Genomic DNA, 20,298 nt, shown 5'->3' with positions numbered 1-20,298 from the left:
TCCATCTCTCCGCACTGTCCTAGGGTATGTCCTGCCTCATCATCTCATCAGCCTGATAATTCCCAAAGGGAAGGGTTATGTCTCTCTGACTGGGAGTTCCCACAGGACAGATGGTCTTATGTGTCCTTCTTCTGCCCAGGCCTGGCCTTGTGTCCTGAGGTCCAAGATCTTCTTGAAGGTTGTGAACTGCCTGACCTCCCCTCTAGCCTTCTGCTCCCAGAGGACATGGCTCTTCGTAACCTGCCCCCGCTCCGAGCTGCCCACAGACGCTTTAACTTTGACACGGATCGGCCCCTGCTCAGCACCTTAGAGGAGGTAAGGATAGCATTTCTTATGCCACAGCTCTGTTTGTCAGTCACAAACAGCAGCAAATGGGTTCAGATCTGGGGAGGGAGGGGGCAGGATGCCCTCTTCCACTCAGACAGGGACAGTGTCCTTGGGGCTACAGGCTGTGCTTCCTTCTTCATTCAGTGAGCCATTTTAGCTTTTTTCCTGCCTTGGCAGTCCTTCTAAAGGTCTGCCATTGGTAGTTTCTACTATTGTAGAACAACCACCCCCTTCCTTTCTCTGCCTTCTGTAAAGGGCAGAACAAATAGTTATTAGGGCTTCGAAATCTTTATCAGTCTCTTTTCTAACTCTGGGCCCAGCCTGCTCCGAGCTGAACATCAAACAATCATAGAAAGTTAGAGCTGGAAGGGAATGTGCTGCCCGCTTAGTCCAGCAGCTTTCACCCTTAAATCTCCATCACCACATGGGCCATCTGGGGGCAGCAGAGGGAAGTCAAGCAGACAGGCCACCCAGTCCTGACATACATAAACCACCTGGCTGCTCCCTCCAACCAGAGCTGCTTGGCTCTGTTTTATATTTTAGAGTTCTAGATAAGATTTTTATTTGAGAGGGAAGAAGGGTTTTACTGACCACAAAAATAAGTTGGGGCCAGGTGCAATGGCTCACCTTTGTAATCCCAGCACTTGGTTGGGGGCCAAGGCAGGTGGATCGCTTGAGCTCAGGAGTTTAAGAACAGCCTGGGCAATATGGCAGGACCCCATTTCTATCAAAAAATACAAAAATTAGCTGGGCATGGTGGTGCGCACCTGTAGTCCCAGCTACTTGGGGGCCGAGGCAGGAGGATGACTTCAGCCCAGGAGGTAGAGGCTGCAGTGAGCTGTAATCACACCACTGCACTCCAGACTGGGTAACAAAGCGAGATTCTGTCTCAAAAAAATAATACATTGGAAAATGTGATCTAGTTTGGTCCCCTAGAGCATATGAGAAGCATTAGGAGAGAGATGGTATTAGAACCCAGGTCTCCTCACTTCCAGCCCAGTGTCCTTTGCTCTTGTTTCTTAGCCCAAGTCCTGGTTTTCTGGTCCTCCTAGGAGTTTTCTTGCTGTACCTACTCGTTTTCTGGCAGTTAGAGGCTCTGGGCCTTAGTGTTTCTCCTTCCCACCCCATAGACCACAAATCTTCCCCTGGAGCCCTTGTTGGCTGAGGTGGCTGGGCCAGCAGGGAGGTGGGAGGGTGGGAGTGGAGGGTCCTGGAGGGCAGGGTGGGTCTAGAGGGCCCTGCTCAGCAGCGCTGGGCTCCTGTATCTCCCCACAGTCAGTGGTGCGCATCTGCTGCATCCGCAGCTTTGGTCATTTCATCGCCCGCCTGCAAGGCAGCATCCTGCAGTTCAACCCAGAGGTTGGCATCTTCGTCAGCATTGCCCAGTCTGAGCAGGAGAGCCTGCTGCAGCAGGCCCAGGCACAGTTCCGAATGGTGAGTCAGGCCTTCCCCTCCCCGTCAGCTCTGCTCCCATTGGGCTCACTGAGAAACCAGGGCAAGAGGCTCAGACCCTCTGGTGGTCTCCACCTGAAGGACATAGTAAGATGCCTAGGGAGAGGGGAGGGGAGGCTGGGAGGGAGGCCTGGGAAGGACTAAGGGATGTGACTGATAGACAGGGACTGAGAGGGGTTTTTTTTTTTTTTATGAGATGGAGTCCCACTCTGTTGCCAGGCTGGAGCAAGTGACGTGATCTCAGCTCACTGCAACCTCCGGCTCCCAGGTTCAAGTGATTCTCCTGCCTCAGCCTCCTGAGTAGCTGGGACTACAGGCGCACGCCACCACGCCCAGCTAATTTTTGTATTTTTAGTAGAGACAGGGTTTCACCATGTAGGCCAGGATGGTCTCGATCTCTTGCCCTTGTGATCCACCTGCCTTGGCCTCCCAAAGTACTGGGATTACAGGCATGAGCCACCACGCCTGGCCTGAAAGGGGCTTTGAGCAGAGGCTGCCTAGCTCAAGACCTGTACCCAGACTGACCTGGGGTTGAGGCCATCTCTGTCACCTTTTAATCTATGAATTGAGCAAGTCACTTAACCTCACCACGCCAGTTTCCTTGTCAGTTATGTGGGAACAAACAGAATCCACTTTATGGAGTTTTTTGAAGATGGAATGATAGTGGGTGTGAGGTGCCTTGCACATTGTCTTATGGCACATGTGTGTGCCTAGCAAATGCTCCCTCTGTTCCCTTTCATTCAAGAGGGATAAAGACTGAGGAATAGAAGGGAGCGGAGGGCTCCTGATATAAGGGGCCATGAAGGAACCTTCCCATCCCAGACATGGTCCCATCCCACAGGGGCCCCAAAGGATGGAAAGTGGCCTGTGGTACCTCTTTTCCATCCAGTAATTCATTCCACGAATATTTATCGAGAGTCCATTTTGTGCCAGACATGACAGTATTCTAGGCACTGGGGTTATAGCAGTGAACAAGACAGTCCTTTCTCTTGTGGGCAACAATCTGGTTTTCACAGTGGGGCCTGCACAGCCTTGGGCATGTTTCCCAACACACCACCCTGAGCTAAGTGGCACCAGAACATTGGGGTGTTAGTGTCTGGCACAGGAAGTATGATGTGTCTCAGCAACCCCTCAGGGTTTCTTCTTCATCTCAAGCCAATCCCCTCCTCCACATTCTTCCTTTGCACCTGTCCCAGGGCCAGTAGCTTCCACACCCTGTCTGAGTGCCATTTCTTGTGGGCATTCTGCTTGGCTGGAAAGGGGCAAAAGCTCCCCAGAAACTCCCTTCCTTACTGTCTGAAAAACAAGCACATTTTGTTAAAAACAAACCTTTGTTAAGGCTTTTATTGCTAGTCCATAGGGGAAGACATGGGGAGGGGGTTACAAAAATAATTATGGGGAAGTTAGCTTCAAAAAATGTTAGGAGTTTTTGCAGGCATTTCCTCTAGCCTAAAGCTCTTGAAGACACTCTTCCTGTCGGGGGGTAGGGAGTACCTGCAAGCCCTTCTCATGTGGTGCTAGACTCCACATGCCAAGATAGACACAGGCCACGTTGCTTGCTGGGGCTGCCTCCTCTGCTTGAGTCACAGGCTTCCACCCCGAAGGGCTTATCCCCAGCCCAGAGGAGTGTTGTCGTTATCACATTTATCAAGAGTTTTCTCTGTGCACAGCCTGGTTTGCATGTGACATCTCAATTAACCCTTGCAGCAGCCCAGTGAGGTAGGTGCTTGCATCCTCCATTTTATAGATAAGAAACAGTAGGCTGGGCTCTGTGGCTCACGCCTATAATCTCAGCACTTTGGGAGGCCAAGGCGGGCGGATCACTTGAAGTCAGGAGTTCGAGACCAGCCTGGCCAACATGGTGAAACCTCGTCTCTACTAAAAATACAAAAAATAGCCGGGCATGGTGGCAGGTGCCTGTAGTCCCAGCTACTTGGGAGGCTAAGGCAGAATAATCACTTGAACCTGGGAGGCAGATGTTGCAGTGAGTCAAGATCGTGCCACTGCACTCCAGCCTCAGCGACAGAGCGAGACTCTGTCTGGAAAAAAAAAAAAAAAAGGAAAAGAAAAGAAAATGTAGAAAGACAAAGGAACATTCCCAAGATCAGAAAGTATAGTCGGTGGTAGAGCCAGGGCTCTGGAGTTGGACACACTATGGATTTCTTATCCTGGCTCTTTTCTGCTGCTTTAGAGACTTAGCTTCTCTGTAGGCCAAGTGGGCACTAGGAGTTGCGGGGGGTGTAGTACCTGCTGATGGGACTTCTGAAGGTAGGCTTTCCCTCTGAGGAACGCGTAGGCCTACATCTGTTTGAAATGCTGGGTTGGTAATGTCAGAGCCTCATATTAGCACAGCTCCATCTTCTTGGGTCCAGGCGGATCTCACTCACCTACACTAGTTCTCTGGGGGAGCTTTTACACAAGTGCCCCCATCCCCCTCTCTTGAATATGGAGTTTCACAATTACCATTTTAGTCTAAAAGCAACTCATTGGCTTGATTTCTGCAGTGGGAAGAGGGAAAGTTTGTCTATGGTGCCTCCCTTGCTTACCAGTTTGCCCACAGGGCCTGTGAGAAAATGGCTGTTAGGTTGAGGCTGCAGTGAGCCAAGATCTTGCCGCTGCCCTCCAACCTGGGTGACAGTGAAACCCTGCCTCAAAAAAAAAAAAAAAAAAAAAAAAGAGAGAAGATGGCTCTCACCTAGGCTCTGGCCTTCTGCTTCCATTCTTTCATTTGTTTACATTGTTTCTCAAGGGGACACTCTTGGCACCTTGGGCAGGACAATTCTTTGTTGTGCAGGACTCTGCAGGGGGGTGGGAGTGGATCTTGCAACTATAGATGTTATTCCTCTTTCCCTAGTCTTCCCACTAATGTCTGTTTTCTCTTTGTAATCCAGTCCAGGACCCACAGTATGTTTGACTGTCATGTATCCTTAGTCTCATGCAATCTCTGACAGTTCTCAGTTTTTCCTTTTCTTTCCTGATGTGACACTTTCGAAGAGTACTGGTCAGTTATTTCATAGTGTCCCTCAATTTGGGTTTGTGTGATGTGGTCTCATGATGAGAATGAGAATTTTTTTTCTTTTTTTGAGACAGGGTCTTGCTCTGTTGACCCAGGCTGAAGTGCAGTGGCATGACCATAGCTCACTGCAGCCTTGAACTCCTGGCCTCAAGCAATTGTCCTGCCTCGGCCTCCTGAGTAGCTAGGACTACAGGCATGCATCACCAAGCTTGACTGATTTTTAAAATAAAAAAAATATACTTTTTTTTGTAGAAATGTGATCTTGCTATGTTGCTGAGGCTGGTCCCAAACTCCAGAACTCAAGCAGTCCTCCTGCCTCGGCCTCCCATATTGCTGGGATTACAGGCATGAGCTACTGTGCCTGGCCCCAAGATTAATATTTTATTTAATTTTTATTTTTATTTTTGTATATTTATTTATTCATTTTCTTTGAGACGGAGTTTTGCTCTTGTTGTGCAGACTGGAGTGCAATGGTGTGATCTTGGCTCACCACAATCTCTGCCTCCCGGGTTCAAGCGATTCTCCTGCCTCAGCCTCCCGAGTAGCTGGGATTACAGGTGCTCGCCACCACGACTGGCTAATTTTTATATTTTTAGTAGAGACGGGGTTTCACCATGTTGCTCAGGCTGGTCTCGAACTCCTGACCTCGTGATCTACCCGCCTCAGCCTCCCAAAGTGCTGGGATTACAGGCATGAGCCACTGTGTCTGGCCCCAGTTTTTGTATTTTTAGTAGAGGCAGGGTTTCACCATGTTGGCCAGGCTGGTCTCGAACTCCTGACCTCGGTCTCCCAAAATGCTGGGATTACAGGCGTGAACCACTGTGCCTGGCCCCAAGATTAATATTTTATTTTATTTTATTTTATTTTGTTTATTTATTTTGAGACGGAGTCTTGCTCTGTCACCCAGGCTGTAGTACAGTGGCTCTATCTCGGCTCACTGCAACCTTTGCTGTCCAGGTTCAAGCAGTTTTCCCTGCCTCAGCCTCCCAAGTAGCTGGGATTATAGGTGCCCGTGACCACACCCAGCTAATTTTTTTATTTTTAGTAGAGATGGGGTTTTGCCATGTTGGCCAGGCTGCTCTCGAACTCCTGACCTTAGGTGATCCGCCTGCCTTAGCCTCCCAAAGTGCTGGGATTACAGGTGTGAGCCACCGTGCCTGGCCAAGATTAATATTTTAAAGCACCACTTTGATGATGCCACTTTGGTCATCAAAGAGTCTTCAGTGGGCTGGGCGCTGTGGCTCGCACCAGTAATCCCAGCACTTTGGGAGGCCAAGGCGGGCAGATTGCTTGAGCCTCAGGAGTTTGAGACCAGCCTGGGCAATATGGTGAAACCCAGTCTCTACAAAAAATACCAAAATTAGCCAGGCATGGTGGCATGTGCCTGTAGTCCCAGCTAGTTGGGGGGCTGAGGCAGGAGGATCATTTGAGCCCGGGAGGCAGAGGTAGCAGTGAACAGGAATTGTGGCACTGCACTCCAGCCTGAGTGACATAGTGAGACCCTGTCTCAAAAGAAAAGAAAAACATAATAAAAAGAGTCTTCAGTGGCTCCCCATATCTTACAGGATAAAGTCCCCATCCTTAGCCTCATCTTATAGACCATACTAAGGAATTTGGGCTTTACCCATAATACAGAGGAAAGGCATCAGAAAACTTTTAAGCAGGGCTATAATGGGCATCAGATGGTTTTTAAAAGATTGCCTTGGTTGTAGGTGGAGAAGAGGGATTGAATTAGAGGCAGAGACCAGTACGGTGGTTGTTACAGTAGTCAAGGAGAGGTGTTGGCTTAGACTAGGGTTTCACAGTGGAGGTGGAAGGATTTGCATGCTGTTTAGGGGGGCACAATTGACAGGACAGGGAACCTGATAACTTCTGGGGCTGAGAGAAAGGGAAGATTCAAAGCCAACCCTGAGCTTTCTGACTTGGGCAGACTGGTTTATTTACTAGGCTAGGGAACACTAGAGGAAGAGACGCAGGTTCTGAGGAGCAGATGGGGCTGCTGAGTAGGCAGTTGTATGTGTGGGTCTGGAGCTCAGGATGGTCAGGCCTGGGCTGAATCTGCAGATTTGGAAGATTTTGGCAAGTGGATGGGGGTAGAAGGTGAGGAAGTGCATGGGTAGGATCTCCTGGGAAGGGAGACCAGATTGAGAAGAGCAGAGATTGAATCCTGAGGCACAGCCAGGTGATGTCCTGCATGGTGACGGCACATGGCTGTCTGCTTCCCCTCCCCTGCAGGGCCTGGAACATCATGACCTGCATCGGGTTGGTAATGGAAGTTGTTCAGAGTGCAGTGGAAGAATATTTTTTCTTCCATGCCTCTCCTCCCCTCATTCAGCAGCAGTGCTAGAGAGTGACTTTGCATGAGGTCACACTGAGACCCCAGGAAACCCTCTTGGTCTTCCTGATCACTGGAGAAGGGAAAATACACCCCAACTCCTTACAGCTCATTTTTTCCCTCATAGGCACAGGAGGAAGCTCGTCGGAACAGGCTCATGAGAGACATGGCTCAGCTACGACTTCAGGTAGGAAATCAGGACCCAAGTGCTTCTTCTGCACTTGGTAGAGCTTTTGTGTCAACCCTACTGGCAGGTCTCCCCCTTCCGCTGTAGTCCCCCTGCTCTGTTGCCTCTGTGTCCCTCCGCCTCTCCCAGATGACCCTCCTTACTACTCACTCTTCACTCAGCCATTTGCCTCCTTTCTGCCTTCATTTCTGTCTCTCCCTCTTTAACTCTTATTTCTGTTTACTTTTCCCCCAAAGCCATTGGTAGAGAGGGTCCTCTGATCCCCTTAACAACAGGAGGAGCCCCATAGAGCCACCTTGAGCACCACTCTTCCCCCGGCCCGGCTGCAGGGGTCCCCCACAGCTGTACCCACCTTGCCCTCTCTCACCAGCTCGAAGTGTCTCAGCTGGAGGGCAGCCTGCAGCAGCCCAAGGCCCAGTCAGCCATGTCTCCCTACCTCGTCCCTGACACCCAGGCCCTCTGCCACCATCTCCCTGTCATCCGCCAACTGGCCACCAGTGGCCGCTTCATTGTCATCATCCCAAGGACAGGTAAGTACATTGGAGAGGTAAGGAGACAGAGTATGACTAAAAGAGATTCTGGGCTTGGGATTAAGAGACCTTATTTGGGGCCCAGTTTATATGCAGTAACCTTGGTCAAGTCTTACTACCTTTGTGAACCCGTCACTTCATCTGTGAAATGGACATAATCCCTATTCTGCCTTACAAGACAGTTGGGAGAAACAGAAAATGTAAGTGAATATAATGAGAAAGCACTTGGTAAATTGCCAAGTATATTGCTGGCAGAAGGTCATGTTTTCAGAGAACTTTGGGAGCCCTCTAGGGAGCCAGGGTCCCTTCTCTGCCTGAAGAGTGTACTGAGGTGAGCTCAGATACTTCCTCCAGAGCCCCTTGTCACAGCAGTCTGAGCTTATCTGTTTTGTCTTTCCCTACCTTGCCCACCAGTGATCGATGGCCTGGATTTGCTGAAGAAGGAACACCCAGGGGCCCGGGATGGGATTCGGTACCTGGAGGCAGAGTTTAAAAAAGGAAACAGGTGAGTGTGGCCTGGCTGGACCTGTGCTGAGCCCTGGGTCTGTCTTTTGGATAACACATGCTTATGAAAGCCCCTTGCTCCCTATGGGTAAGACACATACATACCCGTCTCTACTCACAGTTAGCTCACCTCACTGCCTGGGGAGTGATACCAGAGATAATTAGAAGTCAAGGTTGTAGCTGCTGAAATAGAGGGTGACCAAAGGGATCAGGAGCCCTGTGGGGAGCACTGAGCTGCTGTCCTTCCTCTGGGGCAAGCCTGTGATCAGCACCCACTGGGGAGAAGGGAGCAGACCTCCCTCCCCCAACTTTAGACTGTGAACTCCTTTATAGGAATTTCTCCTGCTTTGGGGTTGGGACAGGTGATCAGGTTTCTCAGAGTGTGAGGGCCTCATCCAGGCTGCCCAGGGGCTTCCCACCTCCCTGCTGAGCTGAGGGAGTGGTAAGACCGAAGCCAGCCAGGGAGGGGCAGCTGGCAGCATGTGCAGATGCTCAGCCGGTACAGGCCTGCCCTTCTGGCCTTTGGGGCTGGAGGAGAACTAGGCAGAGGGTGTAGGGAATAAGGAGAAAGCTTCCCTCTCCCTGCTAGCTGGCCCACCCCCTCCTCTGCATCTGCTCTGGCTGGCCAGGAAGCTGCACAAGGTCTGATTGTTCGGACCTTGTCTCCAGAAGCCCTGACTTGAAAAGCATCTGCTGCTTCTCCCCTCCCAGCTCCTCCCCTGAGAGGAACCAAATAATTGATGTTATCAGGAGGAAAAGTGAGCTGGGCCCAGCAGCCAGGAAGCCACTTAAGAATGGCTCCAGAGCTGTGGTGGGAGAGACATGTTCCCCAGCCCCGCCTGCAAAACCAGGCCCCCAGAGCCACAACAGACTGCTTTGTGTAAGGCACCCTGCCAGTCTCCTGCTCCTGACCTCCACTCGCACATCTCCTCTGCAGGTACATTCGCTGCCAGAAAGAGGTGGGAAAGAGCTTTGAGCGGCATAAGCTGAAGAGGCAGGATGCAGATGCCTGGTAACATTTTAGCCCTCACCCCTAGAACCTCAGGCCACCTGCCTTGCTCCTCCACGAGCATTCCTAGGGAGAACGGGTAGGGCTGGATAATTCTGAGGCTCCACACGTAGCCTGCCAGGGCCCTCCTGCAGGCCTCACCTTGCGAGGAGTACGAAGTTGCCGCAGCACCTGAGCTTTTCCTCTGCAGATGGGTCAGCCTCTTTGGGCCTTGCGATGCTCAGGCTTGGTGTTTTCCCTCAATGCACCTTTGCCTGCTCCCCATATGTCTCCAGGGCCAGCTTCCAGGGCCCACTGCTGCTCACTGCCCTCCCAGCCCCCAGCTGCCCCTGTCCCCTGGAGATCCTGGTGTTTGGGCTGTGCTAATGCTGGGTCTTGGCCCATCTTCCCCTCTGCCCCCCATCCCCAGGACTCTCTATAAGATCCTAGACAGCTGCAAACAGCTGACTCTGGCCCAGGGGGCAGGTGAGGAGGATCCGAGTGGCATGGTGACCATCATCACAGGCCTTCCACTGGACAACCCCAGCGTGCTTTCAGGCCCCATGCAGGTGGGTCATGGGTGAGGTGGGGGGATGGTGTGGAATAGGGACGAGGTACCAGAGCAGACTCCATCCCCAGACCCTCCACATAGCTACCTTTTTTTCTCTTCCATCACTCCTTCCCCAGCGCCTCAACAATTTGCTCTTCAGTTCAGGAGGTCAGACCCTCTCCATCTTTCCTTCTCCCATTCCACAGGCAGCCCTGCAGGCCGCTGCCCACGCCAGTGTGGACATCAAGAATGTTCTGGACTTCTACAAGCAGTGGAAGGAAATTGGTTGATACTGACCCCCAGGCCCTGCAGTGGGGCTGACTCCAGATCTCTCCTGCCCTCCCTGGCAGCCAGGACCAGCACCTGTAGTCACCCCACCACACGCAGACTCATGCACGCACACAGGAGGGAGGCCTAGCTGCTCAGAGGCTGCAGGGAGGGCCCAGGAGCCGGCTGGGAGGGTGGGGTCCCTTTGTTGCCAAGACGTTAGGAAAGCGAGGAAAGTGCTTGGATTAGGAGAGTCTTGTGGGCCCCTGGCCAGCCTTCCTGCCTCAGCTCCCCTGCTGTCTCCAGGGGCAGGTGGTAGGCATGGGTACCTGCATTTCACTGGAATGGGTTCTTGGATCTCTGAGGGGAAGGAACAGCAAAAGAGGCCCTTCTTCCTCACCCAAGATGCAGGGTGGTTGGGGCCAGGAGTTTGGACCCTCTAGGTCTTGGGGGAAGAGCTGGGTAATACCTGGTGTCTGAGTGATTCTCTGCAGACCCTTCCCCTCCTCAAGGATCACCCATCCTCCTTTCAGCCCCCTTTATGGGGACCAGGCAGCTCTGGAGCCAGCCACAGGGGCTGTTAGAGAAGCAAGGCCTGGAGTGGCCTGCACCGAGTAGCAGGGTCAGGGTTCGTGTGCTCCTCCTCCTGCTGCAGGGGCTGCACATCCCATTGCCCCACTTCTGCTTTGTGTCTCCCTCTGTCTAGCTTCCAGGGCAGGGAGCAGGCCCCACCTAGGGCTGCAGGCAGTCTGGCCTGTGCCAGCACGGTCTCCTGTGCCCACCAGCCCCACAGGTGCTGTGCTTTGTGCTCTTGGCTGCTGTGCTGGGACAGAATGGGATGCCAGGAAGAGAAGAAAGGGGGTGCAGTCTGAGGCCACCACCCCCCTTCCTATCTAAGGGAGGGCTGAAGACAAGGGGCCGGCATTCAGTGGGCAGCAGAAAGGAGAGGCTCCTTGAAGCTGCTCAGTCAGAGGCCCCCGTCCCTCCTTTTGCCTTCCGCAGGACTGAAGACCTGAAGGGGCTGGCTTTTGGAGTGTTGAGGTGAATATCTGGGAGCAGAGATCATGAATAGCTCAGGGCAGTGAATGGCGCACCAAGAGCAGGGCTGTGTGTGGGAGGCTGCAGCCAGGATTGCCTCAGCTCCTCCCCCTCAGGCTGGGAGGATAGCACAGGCTAGGGGCTCGGGGTGGAGGGTCTCAGCTCTGCTGCCCCCACCCCAGTACTAGCCTAGCTTCCCAAGCTGTGGCTTAGAGGATAGTTGGCTTCCTGCCTCTCTCCTCTAAAATAGCAAGTCTGGGAAATCCTGGGGTGAGTGGAGTCACCCCACTCCCAGTTGCTGGCAGAGACTGAGACTAAAGCATCACTTAATAAACCCCCCAAGCCCAATCCCTGTCTCCTGGTGCCTGTCTGTACAGAAGTTTCATTGGGGGGTGGGGCACTGAAGATGGCATCCTGAAATGCATTTTGGAAAGGCTTCTTTGAAGTGGATGGAACAGAACAAGAAGCAGGCAATTTGAGTGAAGGCCCTGGAGATGGTTTGATAGGCACTGTCAAGTTCCTTGACTGTAAACTGAGGCGGTGCCTTTGCAGGGGTGATAGTGAAAATCTCTTGCCAGCAACATCGCTGCCTGGGGTTGGTTCGCTGTCACTAGCTGGGTCCTCTTCCCCAAGGGGGTGGGGAGGTGAGCCTTGAAACCAGCCTCTGGCCAGGCGTAGTGGCTCACGCCTGTAATCCCAGCACTGGGAGGCTGAGGCGGGTGGATCACAAGGTCAGATCGAGACCATCCTGGCTAACACGGTGAAACCCCATCTCTACTAAAAATACAAAAAAAAATTAGCTGGGCATGGTGGCGGGTGCCTGTAGTCCCAGCTACTCGGGAGGCTGAGGCAGGAGAATGGCGTGAACCCGGGAGGCGAAGCTTGCAGTGAGCCAATATCGCGCCACTGCACTCCAGCTTGGGTGACAGAGCGAGACTCCACCTTAAAAAAAAAAAAAAAAAAACCAGCCTCTGAGTCCTCAAGTGCCTGTCCTGCAAGGATTGGCATCTCAAATTGTATTCGGGGGGGGGGGGGGGGGGAGGGGGAGGTGGTGAGCCTGGTGAATCCCCCATGATAGAACCAACATTTACCAAAGGCAGTTTGCTCTGAGCCCTAGGCAGCACCAGGTGCTAAGAGGCAGCAAAGCATGGTGAGAGATGGCTTCTGAAATCTGTTCTGCATTTGGGGATTTGGGTTCCTCTGCCAGCCTAAGGCAGAGCTGTCCCCAACTGCTGGGAGAACCTGGAACGGGAACACTGCTCTGAGTCGCCGGGGGGACTCTACAGCACCATGGCCACATCCTGCCTTGGGCCCCTACCCTGTTCTAGCCAGTCAGCACAGGGAGTTTGGGTCGTGCTGGAGGAGCTGGCTGTGTGCAGGCGGCCGAGTGAGCTGCCTGCTAATGGGGCTGGGCCACCCCGTGCTGCTCCCTGGAGGCTGGACAAGGCTGGGATTGTTCCCTGGCTCCCCTTTGTCTCCCCACTCCCCGCCCAGGCCTGGCCCGCCTGCCTGGCCACTCTTCCTCCATCAGCCTGGCTGGCAGCAGCCTTGGACTCCGCCCGTGGAGCCCTGGGCCTGTTGACCCACCAGCTTAGGAGCACCCACCAAGCTCTGGGTAAGGAAGCTCACCTTCTGGGGCTCTTCTGGGAAAATAGAGGTAAAGCATCTTGCTCCAGCCACCCCTCCCCCATTTCCATAGCAACTGCACACACTCCACTCCAGAGATCTCCAAACCCTACTACTAAGGGAAGGCACCGTGAGGGCAGCTAGACCCCAGCGTATTCCTCACTCCTCCCCCAGATAGATGGGCAGCACTCAGGGTAGGGGAGACCCCCGACCATCCCACTTGTGGGAGCGAGCAAGGGATACCCTGGGAGGCCCTCATCCATCTTTGTTCTGCTGGGGTGCAGGGACTAGGGCCAGGTTTGCCTTTGCCCAGCAGGGTCTCCAGCACCCATCTCGGGCAGAGGCTGGGGGAGTGACTGCTGGTGCAAGCCCCAAAGTGCATGCGGCAAAAACATGGATGCAGAGCTGGTGGCAAGAAGAGGGGCTAAGTTATAGAGTTGCTGCAAAGTTTTGGCCTGGGGAGGTGGGGGGAGTGTCCTAGTCCTCCTCCTGGGGCGGCTCCGCCTGCCCAGCTGGCCCAGCCCCTCCACTTGTGCCAAGGAATGTGCCGGGAGAGGCGGGCGGGGCAGCAGAGCTGCGGCCACCCGGAGGCAGTGCACAGGTCTGGGGCTGAGGGATACCTGGGCTCAGGAGGGGCAGGGACCCCAAAATTCTCCTGGGGGCACAAGTGTAGTCCTCAGAGAAAAGCCAGGCATCCCCCTACCTCCTTGTCCCACCTGATGGCATCTGGCTTCTCCAGAGATTCGGAGTGCCAAGAGTGTTCTGTGCTCAGTTCAGGCGCTGTGGGCGAAGCACATTCTGGTGGGAAAGGGAGTGGTACTCAGGCTGTCTCTGTGCTGGCCTCCAGGAGTCAGGATTCTTCCTGAGACAAAAACTGGGGCCTGCGGGGCTGGATCACTATTTGAGGCAGCCTCCCGGCTGGGAGGACCCCGCCACTCTTTGCTGGGCTGAGGCCGCCAAGCCCCTCAGTGTGGGGACTGAATGCCCCAAGGAGAACAGGGGTTGGAGTTAAGTGGTGCAAGGGCTGGGGAAGGTGGACCAGCTTCCCCAGGCCTGAAGGAAGCAGCTCCAGGAGGGAGGGTGCCATCTGCCTCCCACACGCACAGCCCATCCTGCGGCTGAACCCAGGTGAAAGGGGCCTGTGGATGGGGGCAGTTATCTGATCCCCTACCTCCCACTCTGTCTCTAGGTCAACGTGGAGGTACCAGGCCACCATGCTCAGTCTCAAGCTGCCCCAACTTCTTCAAGTCCACCAGGTCCCCCGGGTGAGGGGCTCCACCCACTGACCCACCAACCCCCATTCCCTAGAGGACTGACTAGGGGCTGACGTTCTTCTCTTTTAGCTATTGGGGCAGCCCCTCCTGCAGGCGAACTCTTACCCTCCCATTCCAGTGTGAGACTCTTCCTCTGTTCTCTGAGGAACAAGCTTGTGGCCCTCCATCTGGAGTCCCCTTCCCCAGAGCGCCCTGTGTGCTGCGCTCCACCCCCATCCCACCCCAATCTGGCTCTTCGGTTTCCTATTTGTTTTGTGGGTTGTGGGTACTGGGACCTGTGGTAACATCAGATCAGATTTAGTTTGGCTTGGGGGCCACGTTGATCTCCAGCCCAGCCTCTTTGACCCTGCTTCCAGAGATCTCAGATGGAGGGAAAGGGTCCGGGCACAGTGACGCCCTTCCTCTCCCACCACTACCCTAGGTGTTCTGGGAAGATGGCATCATGTCTGGCTACCGCCGCCCCACCAGCTCGGCTTTGGACTGTGTCCTCAGCTCCTTCCAGATGACCAACGAGACGGTCAACATCTGGACTCACTTCCTGCCCACCTGGTGAGGGGAGGCTCCGCCCCAGGCCGCGGCCTTGAGCTCAGAGGGGGTACCCAGGCGGGCAGGGACCGTCCAGGCCCACGGGCTGCAGCGGCAGTCGCGGGGGTCCGCGGCGGCCTGAGCACGCGCCCGCCGCAGGTACTTCCTGTGGCGGCTCCTGGCGCTGGCGGGCGGCCCCGGCTTCCGTGCGGAGCCGTACCACTGGCCGCTGCTGGTCTTCCTGCTGCCCGCCTGCCTCTACCCCTTCGCGTCGTGCTGCGCGCACACCTTCAGCTCCATGTCGCCCCGCATGCGCCACATCTGCTACTTCCTCGACTACGGCGCGCTCAGCCTCTACAGTCTGGGTGAGCCGGACAGGCGCGGGAGCGCGGGGTCTGGGCGTCCCGGAGCGGGGCGAGGGGTGGGACGCGGGACATAGGGGCGCGCCCCTCAGGCCTCAGCTGCACGCCCCCACCTCACCGCAGGCTGCGCCTTCCCCTATGCCGCCTACTCCATGCCGGCCTCCTGGCTGCACGGCCACCTGCACCAGTTCTTTGTGCCTGCCGCCGCACTCAACTCCTTCCTGTGCACCGGCCTCTCCTGCTACTCCCGGTGGGTTCCCAGGCCCCTCCAGTGGGGACGGGGAAGGCGGAGGCACAGGAGAGGACACACCTCACTGCTCTCGAACAGCACTGGAGGCATCGGGACCATGTACTGAGGACTTCCTCTGTCAGACCCTTTATCCCCACATACAGATGTGGTCCTTTACACAGGAGGTCATATGCCCTAACGGTTTTCTTAGCTGCAGGCTGTGCTGATATTCCATCTTTGCCCAAGTCCTCTTGCCTTTCTCTGACCCCTACCCCAAGCACAGCGATGGTGACCGGCCTTTTCCTCCCGCCTCCCAGTTTCCTGGAGCTGGAAAGCCCTGGGCTCAGTAAGGTCCTCCGCACAGGAGCCTTCGCCTATCCATTCCTGTTCGACAACCTCCCACTCTTTTATCGGGTAAGGAGGCCTAGGGCCCCTGCCCAGACTCCTGCTTTCCTGTCCTGACCCTCAAGGTGCCCACTTCCAGCCCTGCCCCCTCAGTCCCTGCCTCAGCCCAGCCGCCTCTCTTGGGGTCCAGCACCCCGCCTAGCTGTGCCCGCCCGCTCTGCGTCCTCACCAGATCCCAGACACACCCCATGTTTCGGCTCCCGAGTCCCTCCCCAGCAGCCTTGGTTTTCCTTTGACAGCTCGGGCTGTGCTGGGGCAGGGGCCACGGCTGTGGGCAGGAGGCCCTGAGCACCAGCCATGGCTACCATCTCTTCTGCGCGCTGCTCACTGGCTTCCTCTTCGCCTCCCACCTGCCTGAAAGGCTGGCACCAGGACGCTTTGATTACATCGGTGAGGGCACGCCTGGCCCGGCCCGGGAAGAGGCAGGGGCAGATGCCTTCCCAGAGCACAGAATGAACTGGGTAAATGGGTATTACAGCCCCAGGATGGAGGCAAATTATAGGAGGGACTTCCCTGTCTTCCTATAACGAGAGCATCACTGGAAGGGTCCTCCACCTGCCACTTCTCAGGTAGCAAAACTAGTAGCATGTGTGCTGGGGCCACATGCACACATGCTCATTCATTCCTTTCAGTCACTCTGGGAGTCAGGGTTTCTTATTCTCAATTTATGGGGGAGTAGCAGGCCCAGAGGATGGGGTGACTTGCACTGGGAAAGGTGTGGCTCTGACCTGCCCATCCTCTCCACAGGCCACAGCCACCAGTTATTCCACATCTGTGCAGTGCTGGGCACCCACTTCCAGCTGGAGGCAGTGCTGGCTGATATGGGATCACGCAGAGCCTGGCTGGCCACACAGGAACCTGCCCTGGGCCTGGCAGGCACAGTGGCCACACTGGTCTTGGCTGCAGCTGGGAACCTACTCATTATTGCTGCTTTCACAGCCACCCTGCTTCGGGCCCCCAGTACATGCCCTCTGCTGCAGGGTGGCCCACTGGAGGGGGGTACCCAGGCCAAACAACAGTGAGGCCCCATCCCTGACCCTGTCCTGGAGGGGGCAGAGGCCAGGCCCCAGTGCTGACGAGGAGCCCAGATTTGGGCCTAATCAGGTGGGGACGCATCTCAGCCTGGAACCAACAGGGGCTGAGGAGAGAGGGCACAGGAGAGAGGGCAGAGAAGAGGAGGGGTGTCTAGGGGGACTGGCAGAGTGTGAGAGGGACCGTGAGGGGGCTCTTGATGGGAGTGGAAGAAGTGCTGAGGGTCTGAGAGGGGAGATGCATGCGTGTCCAGGCTGAAGATGCCCCTATATTCTGTCAAAGGTTGGCGGGGGGAGGTGTTGGGGTCCTTTCATCTGGCTCCGTTTCTGGTGCTTCTGGAAGTCTCTGCTCAGCACAGGGAAGAACTAACACGACTAACCTAGGCCTACCCTGAATGCTTCTTGCTAACCAGGCCGAGAGGCCACACACTTGCCCCCCCATCCCCACAAACCAGGTAATGCCAGTTTGCCAGCAGCTATTTGCCTATAGAGATGAGTCTGTCCTGGTCATAACTGTGTGCTCAAGGTGTCCAGGCTTTTGGGGGTGGGCCTATCTGGGTGCATTATGGATGGTTTGGTGGATTGAGGTGTGGGGAGGAGGGTCCTAGGCTAGAGGGGGTATCCCTAGTTAGACTTTGGGAAGCCACCTTCAACGTTTTCTGGAACAAGGCAGGTACAAATAAAAAAATAAAACTTTGGAAAGCACTTTCTAGAACTGAAGAAGGTAAAACCTCCTCACCCCCATCCTCCTGACACCTCCCTCCCACACTCCATAAACTGGACAGACTCACAGGCCCACAGATTCCTCTTCTGGAGTTTATTTGGGAGCAGCTGGGATGATGGGGACCCCACATCCATAGGGCTGGGAGGTCAGGGCAAGGGCAAGGGGAAGAGGAAAGAAGGGTGCCTGGAGAGGAGCAGAACTGGGGTTGCCGGCCAGGCCAGCAGAGCGACACCCTAGACCGGGCCGTAGAAGCGCCGATAGGCCTCCTGAAAGCCGATGTGGTCAGCCAACTCGTCACAGTCCGGATTGAGCTCACACACCTCCCTCCTGGGCTCCAGGGGATCCGGGTAGGGGACTGGGGCTCTGAGACACCCGACGTGGTGGCATCAGCCCCCGTGCAAAATGCCCATCCCTCCTCTCCCTACACATGGGGCTCCAGGGTGCCCACCAGGGCAGGCTGCCTGTACCCCCACCACAACCCAGAGAGGCCACTCCCTGCTGCAGCTCCCCCACAGACCATCCCGGAGAGGCAGGGCCTTGGCCCAGCTCTGCCTTTTCTCTCACCCCAGCCATTGATACAGGTAGCGCCTGGGTCTCTTCACTACCTCGCTGCCCTCCTGCTTGGACACAAAGGCTGTGGAGCAGAGGGGCAGGCATCAGGTGGCTCTGGGTTTGGGAGGATCAGGTGGGGAGCAGGCTGGCCTTCCTGATGGCCAGACAGGAGGTGGCAGGAGTGGGGGAATGAGACTGAGGGACCAGGGTGAGAGGGGAGGGTCCAGGAACCCATCAGGTCCATCCTCATACCTGCACCTTTGCTGGACTCTGCACCGCTGGGCTTCGCACCTGCAAAGGAAAGGGAGCCTGGTTCACCCCAGCTCATCCCCAGGGCCCTCATCCTCCTTCCCCTGCGTCTCGGGCAGCTTGCTCTTCCCTCCTCTCCCTCTGCAAGGGCAGAGCTGGGGCAAATGGATTGAGCCTGCAACAAGGTGGTTAGACTGCAAAGGGACTGCCAGCCAAAGGGGTGAGAAGAGGTGGGCCATGGTGCTTCCTCCTCTCAGCCCCCACTGCAATGCGGCCTGAGGGGAGGTGGGGGCACTCACCTGCCTGGCCAGCGATGCAAAGTGCGGCCAGGGCCAATAGGGCGAGGAGTGTGAGGGCTCTCATGGTGTCTCGGTGGCTGCGCTGGGCTGCTGCTCAGGACTCAGCTGGCCTGCCCCGCCAGCCTCCAGCACTGTTTATACCCTCTGGGCTGTGCCCAGCGATGAGGAGGGGCATGCCTGACCATGGTGCGGGCGGGTCTAGGGGGAATCTGCCAGGGCTATTTGGGGGTCATCCGCCCCAGCTCCGTAGGCCAAACCCCAAAGGATATTGTGGTTGGGAGCTGCGGCTGCTGGGCCAGGGGCCCCTGGGAGTGATGGAGGGTGAGCCACAATCAGACTGCCCGGCTCTTGACACTGCCTCTGGCCCCTCTCTCAGGGGACAGCCCCAGACCCCTCAGCTCCAACTCACTCTTCCTCAGAGACCCCCAGCCTCAGGTTGAGCACTGGCTGAGCTCTAGGGGAGTCTAAAGAGGAAGCGGGGATCAGAGACCTAAAATAGGTTCAAGCAGAGCTGGGCTCCAGCTGTCTCACAGCCTGTGATTTCTACTGTCAGCCCCGTGGGCAGGAGCCAAACCCAGGGAGGGGATGCCTCGCAATGCCCCCGTTCACCCGGTGAGTCACCAAAGGCAGCCTGCTGTGGGTGCAGCTCGACGGCTCAGGCCCTGCCCTGCGCATCCGGACAGGAGAAAGGGTCGGGCAGCACAAACGCCAAAAGCCAAAGCCAATGGAGGTGGGGCCGGGCAGGAGATGAGGTCAGCCGGTTGGTTTCTGGGACACGCCAGGTGGCTGTGACTGCCAGGTACACAGGCACAGGGAAGGGAGGCAGGCACTGAGGTGGGGACCCCCTTCCCTGTGTCCTTAGCAGGCAGGGAGGCAGGGCCTGTGAGGAGCACGAAGATGGAGTGTGCCTCTGCCCTCCTGGCCCCACGATTCTCCTCCTGACCCTGCAGCCTCCAGTGTTAAACACCCTGGGGAGGGACCTGCCCTCCCGTAGTGCTCCGATAAGTAATAGGAAGGCCTATCCTCTACGGTACAGAACATCCCAGCCTGAAAACCCCATCCCACACCTGAGAGCCTCCACTGCCTCAGGTCAGCCCAGAGAGGGAAGACATGTCCTGGGACCTTCCCCTGTCTAACCTGTCTCCTCACTCACCCACCCACCAACCAGGGCTTGAGACCATCTGCCCAACCTGACAAGTAAACAAAGCACCCGACGGGGCAGGCCTGACAGAAGCAGGGCATTTGGATGCTTGAATGCCACAGCTCCATGGTGACAAGGTGGGCAGAGGGAGACTGAGCCAAGTGCCGTTTATGGGAGGGGGGTGGGAAGTTGGGACCACCTGATGCTTGCCTGTGTCCCCAGTGTGCCTCCAGCAGACCTCACCAAGGCTCTCACTAGGGAAAAGTTCTGCCCCCATACACGCCCAACCCCTTTCCCCCTCTGGTGGATCCGGGAAGCACCCATCCTGCCTTTGGCTGCCCTGGCTGAAGAAGAGTGAAGTGGAAGAAGCAAGAGAAACAAAGTGCTCGCGGTTCTTTTTTTTTGAGACGGAGTCTCGCTCTGTCGCCCAGGCAGGAGTGCAATGGTGCGATCTCGGCTCACTGCAACCTCTGCCTCCCAGGTTCAAGTGATTCTCCTGCCTCAGCCTCTTGAGTAGCTGGGACTACAGGCACACGCCACCATGCCTGGCTAATTCTGTATTTTTTTTTGAGATGGAGTTTCACTCTTGTTGCCCAGGCTGGAGTACAGTGGCGCAATCTTGGCTGACTGCAACCTCCGCCTCCCGGGTTCAAGTGATTCTCCTGCCTCAGCCTCCCGAGTAGCTGG

General features: G+C 55.9%; 4 protein-coding genes across 23 annotated transcripts in view, besides 25 other annotated features; 2 read left to right on the top strand and 2 right to left on the bottom strand.

Annotated features, from left to right (window-relative positions):
- The window catches only part of SMG5 (SMG5 nonsense mediated mRNA decay factor), a 42,293-nt gene extending 30,751 nt beyond the window's left edge, over positions 1-11,542 (top strand). For 4 of the 5 annotated variants that reach the window (NM_001323617.2, NM_001323615.2, NM_015327.3 and 1 more), the window contains 8 exons: positions 140-315; positions 1,603-1,761; positions 7,258-7,317; positions 7,688-7,847; positions 8,262-8,352; positions 9,289-9,363; positions 9,770-9,908; positions 10,096-11,542. In NM_001323617.2, coding sequence (NP_001310546.1) covers positions 140-315; positions 1,603-1,761; positions 7,258-7,317; positions 7,688-7,847; positions 8,262-8,352; positions 9,289-9,363; positions 9,770-9,908; positions 10,096-10,179 — 944 coding nt within the window. In that variant the 3' untranslated portion in view covers positions 10,180-11,542. The remainder of the gene's footprint in view (positions 1-139; positions 316-1,602; positions 1,762-7,257; positions 7,318-7,687; positions 7,848-8,261; positions 8,353-9,288; positions 9,364-9,769; positions 9,909-10,095) is intronic. The other variant, NM_001323614.2, reaches the window with a different exon arrangement.
- Positions 12,554-12,848: a silencer, noted in NCBI's record as "tiled region #3040; K562 Repressive non-DNase unmatched - State 14:Gen5'". NCBI's record gives its function as "represses a minimal TATA promoter and a strong SV40 promoter by Sharpr-MPRA in K562 cells {active_cell/tissue: K562}" and the evidence as "EXISTENCE:reporter gene assay evidence [ECO:0000049][PMID:27701403]".
- On the top strand, positions 12,710-17,446 carry PAQR6 (progestin and adipoQ receptor family member 6). 13 transcript variants are annotated; one of them, NM_001272105.2, is made up of 9 exons: positions 12,710-12,809; positions 13,134-13,256; positions 14,010-14,076; positions 14,516-14,643; positions 14,779-14,984; positions 15,105-15,231; positions 15,528-15,624; positions 15,855-16,005; positions 16,363-17,446. In NM_001272105.2, exons 3-9 carry the CDS (start codon positions 14,035-14,037, stop codon positions 16,635-16,637), a joined length of 1,026 nt encoding a protein of 341 aa, NP_001259034.1. In that variant the 5' UTR covers positions 12,710-12,809; positions 13,134-13,256; positions 14,010-14,034; the 3' UTR covers positions 16,638-17,446. The 13 variants fall into 13 exon arrangements, 12 of the variants coding, with proteins under 12 accessions (NP_001259034.1, NP_940798.1, NP_001259033.1 ...); NM_198406.3 differs by lacking the exon at positions 13,134-13,256 and having other exon boundaries at positions 14,010-14,085; NM_001272104.2 differs by lacking the exon at positions 13,134-13,256 and having other exon boundaries at positions 12,710-12,851; positions 14,010-14,085.
- Positions 14,651-14,810: a silencer, noted in NCBI's record as "silent region_1424". NCBI's record gives its function as "represses an Ori minimal core promoter by ATAC-STARR-seq in GM12878 lymphoblastoid cells {active_cell/tissue: GM12878}" and the evidence as "EXISTENCE:reporter gene assay evidence [ECO:0000049][PMID:35858748]".
- Positions 14,981-15,170: a silencer, noted in NCBI's record as "silent region_1423". NCBI's record gives its function as "represses an Ori minimal core promoter by ATAC-STARR-seq in GM12878 lymphoblastoid cells {active_cell/tissue: GM12878}" and the evidence as "EXISTENCE:reporter gene assay evidence [ECO:0000049][PMID:35858748]".
- The window catches only part of PMF1-BGLAP (PMF1-BGLAP readthrough), a 30,345-nt gene continuing 27,480 nt past the window's right edge, over positions 17,434-20,298 (bottom strand). For all 4 annotated transcript variants that reach the window (NM_001199662.1, NM_001199661.1, NM_001199663.1 and 1 more), the window contains 3 exons: positions 18,175-18,213; positions 17,935-18,004; positions 17,434-17,733 (listed from right to left, as the gene is read on the bottom strand). In NM_001199662.1, coding sequence (NP_001186591.1) covers positions 17,972-18,004; positions 18,175-18,213 — 72 coding nt within the window. In that variant the 3' untranslated portion in view covers positions 17,434-17,733; positions 17,935-17,971. The remainder of the gene's footprint in view (positions 17,734-17,934; positions 18,005-18,174; positions 18,214-20,298) is intronic.
- Positions 17,449-18,582, bottom strand: BGLAP (bone gamma-carboxyglutamate protein). The gene is made up of 4 exons (NM_199173.6): positions 18,471-18,582; positions 18,175-18,213; positions 17,935-18,004; positions 17,449-17,733 (listed from the first exon to the last, which is right to left on the bottom strand). Exons 1-4 carry the CDS (start codon positions 18,532-18,534, stop codon positions 17,604-17,606), a joined length of 303 nt encoding a protein of 100 aa, NP_954642.1. The 5' UTR covers positions 18,535-18,582; the 3' UTR covers positions 17,449-17,603.
- Positions 18,500-18,506: a transcriptional cis regulatory region, noted in NCBI's record as "OSE (osteocalcin silencer element); +29 to +35". NCBI's record gives its function as "negative regulation of BGLAP transcription" and the evidence as "EXISTENCE:site-directed mutagenesis evidence [ECO:0005528][PMID:8559666]".
- Positions 18,500-19,922: a biological region, named in NCBI's record as "BGLAP promoter region". NCBI's record gives its function as "regulatory_interactions: BGLAP".
- Positions 18,573-18,775: a promoter, noted in NCBI's record as "-193 to +10; ApaI/PvuII fragment". NCBI's record gives its function as "drives transcription of BGLAP" and the evidence as "EXISTENCE:reporter gene assay evidence [ECO:0000049][PMID:2786632]".
- Positions 18,573-19,922: a promoter, noted in NCBI's record as "-1339 to +10 promoter; BamHI/PvuII fragment". NCBI's record gives its function as "vitamin D-responsive promoter that drives transcription of BGLAP" and the evidence as "EXISTENCE:reporter gene assay evidence [ECO:0000049][PMID:2786632]".
- Positions 18,589-18,621: a protein binding site, noted in NCBI's record as "GRE; -41 to -9". NCBI's record gives the evidence for it as "EXISTENCE:protein binding evidence [ECO:0000024][PMID:9303434]".
- Positions 18,594-18,615: a protein binding site, noted in NCBI's record as "GR binding site". NCBI's record gives its function as "negative regulation of BGLAP promoter activity; competes for binding with TATA-box binding protein" and the evidence as "EXISTENCE:protein binding evidence [ECO:0000024][PMID:2038339]".
- Positions 18,605-18,610: a TATA box. NCBI's record gives the evidence for it as "COORDINATES:motif similarity evidence [ECO:0000028][PMID:2588000]".
- Positions 18,622-18,650: a protein binding site, noted in NCBI's record as "OSE1". NCBI's record gives its function as "positive regulation of BGLAP promoter activity" and the evidence as "EXISTENCE:protein binding evidence [ECO:0000024][PMID:11684680]".
- Positions 18,689-19,206: an enhancer, noted in NCBI's record as "H3K4me1 hESC enhancer chr1:156211351-156211868 (GRCh37/hg19 assembly coordinates)". NCBI's record gives its function as "activates a minimal SCP1, AML or CMV promoter by ChIP-STARR-seq in naive H9 embryonic stem cells {active_cell/tissue: H9 hESC(naive)}" and the evidence as "EXISTENCE:reporter gene assay evidence [ECO:0000049][PMID:30033119]".
- Positions 18,734-18,752: a protein binding site, noted in NCBI's record as "OSE2". NCBI's record gives its function as "positive regulation of BGLAP promoter activity" and the evidence as "EXISTENCE:protein binding evidence [ECO:0000024][PMID:11684680]".
- Positions 18,745-18,807: a protein binding site, noted in NCBI's record as "OSCARE-2; -226 to -163". NCBI's record gives the evidence for it as "EXISTENCE:protein binding evidence [ECO:0000024][PMID:8707885]".
- Positions 18,751-18,780: a transcriptional cis regulatory region, noted in NCBI's record as "ORE-1". NCBI's record gives its function as "contributes to repression of BGLAP promoter activity in NIH3T3 cells {active_cell/tissue: NIH3T3}" and the evidence as "EXISTENCE:reporter gene assay evidence [ECO:0000049][PMID:7593272]".
- Positions 18,800-18,805: a protein binding site, noted in NCBI's record as "GATA site". NCBI's record gives the evidence for it as "EXISTENCE:protein binding evidence [ECO:0000024][PMID:19759027]".
- Positions 18,990-19,150: an enhancer, noted in NCBI's record as "-568 to -407; BspEI/PvuII fragment". NCBI's record gives its function as "vitamin D-inducible enhancer" and the evidence as "EXISTENCE:reporter gene assay evidence [ECO:0000049][PMID:2786632]".
- Positions 19,065-19,094: a protein binding site, noted in NCBI's record as "VDRE (vitamin D response element)". NCBI's record gives its function as "stimulates promoter activity; methylation-sensitive" and the evidence as "EXISTENCE:protein binding evidence [ECO:0000024][PMID:2174889]".
- Positions 19,071-19,091: a response element, noted in NCBI's record as "VDRE (vitamin D response element); -509 to -489; also corresponds to HRE". NCBI's record gives its function as "confers responsiveness to vitamin D, vitamin A, and AP-1 family factors when multimerized" and the evidence as "EXISTENCE:reporter gene assay evidence [ECO:0000049][PMID:2786632, PMID:2159384, PMID:2588000]".
- Positions 19,071-19,092: a protein binding site, noted in NCBI's record as "HRE (hormone response element)". NCBI's record gives its function as "positive regulation of promoter activity" and the evidence as "EXISTENCE:protein binding evidence [ECO:0000024][PMID:2159384]".
- Positions 19,071-19,092: a protein binding site, noted in NCBI's record as "HRE (hormone response element)". NCBI's record gives its function as "negative regulation of BGLAP promoter activity" and the evidence as "EXISTENCE:protein binding evidence [ECO:0000024][PMID:2159384]".
- Positions 19,075-19,093: a protein binding site, noted in NCBI's record as "AP-1/VDRE". NCBI's record gives the evidence for it as "EXISTENCE:protein binding evidence [ECO:0000024][PMID:11684680]".
- Positions 19,087-19,121: a protein binding site, noted in NCBI's record as "TNFRE (tumor necrosis factor-responsive element)". NCBI's record gives its function as "mediates negative regulation by tumor necrosis factor" and the evidence as "EXISTENCE:protein binding evidence [ECO:0000024][PMID:8388544]".
- Positions 19,189-19,218: a transcriptional cis regulatory region, noted in NCBI's record as "OSCARE-1; -634 to -605". NCBI's record gives its function as "contributes to basal BGLAP promoter activity" and the evidence as "EXISTENCE:reporter gene assay evidence [ECO:0000049][PMID:7598807]".
- Positions 19,207-19,726: an enhancer, noted in NCBI's record as "H3K4me1 hESC enhancer chr1:156210831-156211350 (GRCh37/hg19 assembly coordinates)". NCBI's record gives its function as "activates a minimal SCP1, AML or CMV promoter by ChIP-STARR-seq in primed H9 embryonic stem cells {active_cell/tissue: H9 hESC(primed)}" and the evidence as "EXISTENCE:reporter gene assay evidence [ECO:0000049][PMID:30033119]".

The sequence above is a fragment of the Homo sapiens genome, chromosome 1, assembly GCF_000001405.40.
Source record: "Homo sapiens chromosome 1, GRCh38.p14 Primary Assembly".
Classification (NCBI taxonomy): domain Eukaryota; kingdom Metazoa; phylum Chordata; class Mammalia; order Primates; family Hominidae; genus Homo; species Homo sapiens.
This window is presented reverse-complemented; position numbering and strand designations above follow the sequence as displayed.